At 49.1% G+C, this 4,729-nt stretch overlaps 2 annotated features.

Moving 5' to 3' along the window:
- Nucleotides 3,483–3,984: an enhancer, noted in NCBI's record as "H3K4me1 hESC enhancer chr9:128821617-128822118 (GRCh37/hg19 assembly coordinates)". NCBI's record gives its function as "activates a minimal SCP1, AML or CMV promoter by ChIP-STARR-seq in naive H9 embryonic stem cells {active_cell/tissue: H9 hESC(naive)}" and the evidence as "EXISTENCE:reporter gene assay evidence [ECO:0000049][PMID:30033119]".
- Nucleotides 3,985–4,484: an enhancer, noted in NCBI's record as "H3K4me1 hESC enhancer chr9:128822119-128822618 (GRCh37/hg19 assembly coordinates)". NCBI's record gives its function as "activates a minimal SCP1, AML or CMV promoter by ChIP-STARR-seq in naive H9 embryonic stem cells {active_cell/tissue: H9 hESC(naive)}" and the evidence as "EXISTENCE:reporter gene assay evidence [ECO:0000049][PMID:30033119]".

Below are 4,729 nucleotides of genomic sequence, written 5' to 3' on the forward strand. Positions count from 1 at the left end.
CCTTGCCCAGTGCACTACTCTAAGGAAAGGCTGGCCTGGAGGGGAGGATTGCTTGAAGCCAGGAGTTTGAGACCAGCCTAGGCAACATAAGTGAAACCTTGTCCCTACAAAACAACAACAACAAAAAACCCCACAAAAAACTAGCAGGTCGTGGTAGTGTGCACCTGGAATCATAGCAGTGGGGGAGGTTGAGGCAGGAGGATTGTTTGAGCCCAGGAAGTCAAGGCTGCCATGAGCTATGATCGTACCACTGTACTTCAGCCTGGGCAACAGAGCAAGACTCTGACTCAAAAACAAACAAAGCCAGAAAAGCCTGAAGATTTGTGCCTATGTCTGTGTGCAGAAGTAATGTTCATTTGCTCATCTGTGGAGCACCTACTGTGTGCCAGGCGCTGCTCCTATTGAAGGGTTAATGCAGTGGACCAAATAGATCTCTGCGCTCTTGGGTTTCCCTTCCTCCCGGTGGGGGAGATAGACACACACCTTAACAAGGTCCATTCCAGTTGTGAAAAATGCTGTGAAGACAATTATCTAAGGTCGTCCGTGAGTGACTGGGCAGTCAGGGATGGCTTCCTTGAGGAGGTGTGCTTTGAGCTGAGGACTCAGCCAGCTCTGTGGAGAGTTTCGGGCAAGCATTCCAGGAGGAAGAAACAGCTAGTGCAAAGGCCCTGAGGCAGAAAGGAGCCTGGCTGAGTTCAAGGAACAGAAAGGCCAGTGTTGCATGGTGGGAGCCCTGTTCACAGGAACAAAGCAGGAATGCAGGCGCTAAGGTTGGCATTCTGGAGTCAGGCTTTAAGGGGCTTCTGAGGTCTTGGAAGAGGCCCGGGGTCCAGCAAGGCCCCATCGGCCCTCTGATGAGTTGTCTTGTTATCTTCCTAAACCTCTTGTCTGCCTTCTCCTCCTTTTCCTCTTGCTGGTGTCCAGGCCAGGACCCAATCTGGGGTCATAGACCTCAGCCAGCTTAGAGAACCGAGACCTCTCTCCCTCAGCCAGGGCCACCCCCTCCTGGCACATAACACCATCGCTGTGATAGGCTGAAAATGAGGCTTTTGGAGCAAAGAGCCCGTGTTTACAGAACAGCAGCAAGGTATCTGCCTGCAAACAAAGTGGCTTGTTACACTCAGGCCCCAGTAAAAAATCTTCTAAGTGCCTAATTAACAGTTGAGGTAGATATAAAAACATAATGAGAAAAACAATCTGCTTGCAAAAAAAAAAAAAAAAAAAAAAAAAGAAGAAGAATTAAAAAGGAAAAAAAAAAAGTGGGGGGAAAATTGGCAGGGCCTGACCAGCTGCTAATCTGGGCGCATGTCCGTCTGTGCAGGTTCAAGTGGCCGGGAGGGCCAGCCGAATGGCCTCCTCGCAGGCCGATATTGCACCTCTGTACGTCTGAGCAATTTTAAACTTGGCAGGAAGAGAGCTGCGCGGAAATTTGCGTAAGCCTTGATAAATATTTTATGCAAATTAAAATTGAATTCTTTGCTTAGTTTAAGCAATTTCCCTGTAAGGAGTGTGTTGAGGAGAGAGATTACAACATTTGCCGGTTTGTTTATAATTTAATTTTTTTTTTTATGTTGCGGCTGGCAGTGGGGGAGATGGTAACACCTGTGAGTGTTTATAACGTCCCATCTCCTTCACAGCTGCTCCTATTCAAAACACCTCGCCGGCGTAATAATTTCATAAAATTTCATGATTTACCATCTGCTCGCGCCGGTTTGGGCTTCAGCAATAGGCTCGTATGTGGCGCCCGGCCCAGAAAGGTACAATAACTGTATATTTTAACTTAATGGTTTTTTGGGGGGCATGCAAATTTCAGTGAGCAGATTGCACCGAGGCCCGGGCTTGGAGCGGCCTCCCTGGGCCCGGCGGCCCTTTCCCCAGAAGCCCCTGAGCACCCCCCGGCTCGGTGAAGGTTGCCCGTGTCAAAATCGAGATATCAAACACCAAGTGTAAAAAGACAAGGTAGGAGGTACAAGAGGATTATTTTCCTTTTAGCATTTGATGTCTGTGCATTTGGGTAATTAAAATGATTACTACAACAATTAAAGCAAGTAATTAGAAACTAATTACACCAGCATTTTTTGTGATTACAGGAGCAGATGAAAATAGTGTTCAAAATTAAATTCATTGCATATTCATGGGAATGAAATTAAATACTGCTGGGTGGATGAGATAATCGGAGGAGAGAAGAGAGGAATGGCATTCTGGGGATTCGGAGAACAGACTGTTGCTAATGCTCCAAACAGACATTTGGTTAAATCAGTGATAATCTTTTAATGGCTTTAAAAGGAGCTAATATTTGGAAAGCAGTCAAAATTGCTGAGAGTTTGTGTTTTTCACTCTCTCTGTGATAATACATACCAGCTGTAGCACAATAGAAAACATTTAATCATTATCCACTCAAATGGAGGCGCAGGAGCCAGCATCTCCCCGCCTCTCCTGGTGTCTCATGCACGACAATAAATTAAATTAAAGAATCTTAGCGAGCTCTTTTTTCCCTCTCTCTCTCTCCCTCTCTCTCCCCTCTCTCCCCGCTATTGACTACCTTCGAGCCACTGCCTTGCCACGACCATTTAATGAGATTCCTTAGATTAAATAGATTTTCTGTTTAACTCCACACTGGTGAGATAGCATGTCAGGGACTGAATGGCTATTAACATTTAAATATTTCACAGAACAAAAAAAAAATCGGAATATGAATTTTTCATTGTTGCGGCGCTCAATGGAGTCGCTCCCTCCCGCCCTTTCTCTGGTTCTCTCTCTCTCTCTCTTTCTCTGCTAGACCTAATGAAACTAAAGTAATTAGAAAGATACAAGAGGAGCACTTTCACTAGAGTGCAATTAAATTGAGCGCAGAGCCGTTATTTATATAGGCTGGTCACTGCGTAGCCGCTGCTATTTTCTCAGCCTGCTTGAGTCATAGATTATTACAAGAGATTAATAATGTAAATTTCACTGACTCTGCTGCTCTCCCAGCCTCGGCCTTCAGAAATTGATGGGCGCACCATCCATCACCTCCTCCCATCCCGGCCTGTCCCTCCGCAGGCTCTCCGGCCCCCTGCGCCCCGCCTCGCTCCCGGTGCTGTGCTGTCTCTCTGTCCCTTTTTGACTTGGCCTCTCACTCCGTGTTTTTGTCCGGATTTCTCTGTGTCTTTCCTCTTGTATTTATTTCCGAGCTCCTACCACACCAGCCCTGCTAGGTTCCTGTTTGGTTCTTTGGGAGTGGGACCCTCACTGCCGCCTCCCAGCTCCCAGTCTGGCTGTCTCGAAAGGGGTCCATTAGCTTTGTAGAAGCCCATCTGGTGGGCGATGGGTTAAAGGCAAAATTGCCCCCCTGAGTTCACCATCCCTTTCCCGGGCACACGCCATGGACAACCCTCTGTCCCTCCTACCCAGCCCTCTGTACATCCCTCCAGCACCTCATCCTCTCATCTCTTCTCTCTGCATTCCTTGGCCCATCTCTGTTCCTCGTGGCCCTCCCAGCCTCCACATGCAGGAGGAAGAGCTGAGATTAGGGGCCCGGCTTGGTAGCCTTCCAGCTATGTGACCTTGGCTTGCTATTTCACTGAGCCTTCATGTCCTCACCTGTTAAATAGGGATAATAAGGCCGGTATTACAGAATTTGCTGGGCACAATTAGATTGGATAATCTGTGCGGAGGGCCAGGCATGTAGCAAGGATGGAGTAACAGTGGATCCTGTTCTTTCTTGCTTCTTCCGTCTGTATCCACTGATTCTCCTCCCAGCCCTTTTCTCGGCTTTGAAGTGTCCCCTCATCTGGCTGCCTGAGGGTCAGTGGAGGCCAGTGCTTGGAGCGGGTAGGGGTGAGGTCAGGAGAGGAGAGGAGAGGACCCCGAAGGCGAAGTCCTGGTCTGCTCCACTCCACCTTCCCTTTTATCCGGACCCCCACTCTGCTCCTGCTGCAGGTCTGCTCAGGGTTGGCGGGGGGCGTCTAGGATGAAGCGTGCATGGGGAGCAGCCACCGCCTGCCCAGCAGAGGGAGTGACCTCACCTGCCTGGCTGGGGAATTACATCACGATGTGCCCAAGCGTAGGATTTGGCAGAGCCAAGAGGGCTTGCTTTCAAAACAATTAGCGCCAACATCTGCCCAAGCACCCATGCTGTTTTTGTATAATTAAAACAAGCCTCCACAATCCCACTGGACACTCTTTAAAAACGGCTCATTTTTGGCATTATTTACAATGTGGGGGGGATGGCAGGTGGGAGGTGCCTACTGCTGTCCCCAGGGAGAGGCCTGGAGTCTCCCCATTCTTGGCTGGGCCACTCCGGCAGTTACTGTCTTCCTGACGGATGAGTGAGCTCCGGATCCCAAGGCCCCAGGGAGAAGCTGCAGGGTTAGGGGGACCTGTGTGGGACCACAGACACATCACCACCTTTCATTTATTTATTTATTTATTTATTTATTTATTTATTTTGTTGAGATGGAGTCTCACTCTGTCGCCTGGGTTGGAGTGCAGTGGCGTGATCTCAGCTCACTGCAACCTCCACCTCCTGGGTTCAATCAATTATCCTGCCTCAGCCTCCCGAGTAGCTAGGATTACAGGCACCCACCACCATGCCTGGCTAATTTTTTGTATTTTAGTAGAGACGAGGTTTCACTATGTTGGCCAGGCTTGTCTCGAACCCCTGACCTCGTGATCCACCCGCCTTGGCCTCCCAAAGTGCTGGGATTACAGGCGTGAGCCACTGCGCCCGGCCACATCATCACCTTTC

The sequence above is a fragment of the Homo sapiens genome, chromosome 9 (assembly GCF_000001405.40).
Source record: "Homo sapiens chromosome 9, GRCh38.p14 Primary Assembly".
Taxonomy (NCBI): Eukaryota; Metazoa; Chordata; class Mammalia; order Primates; family Hominidae; genus Homo; species Homo sapiens.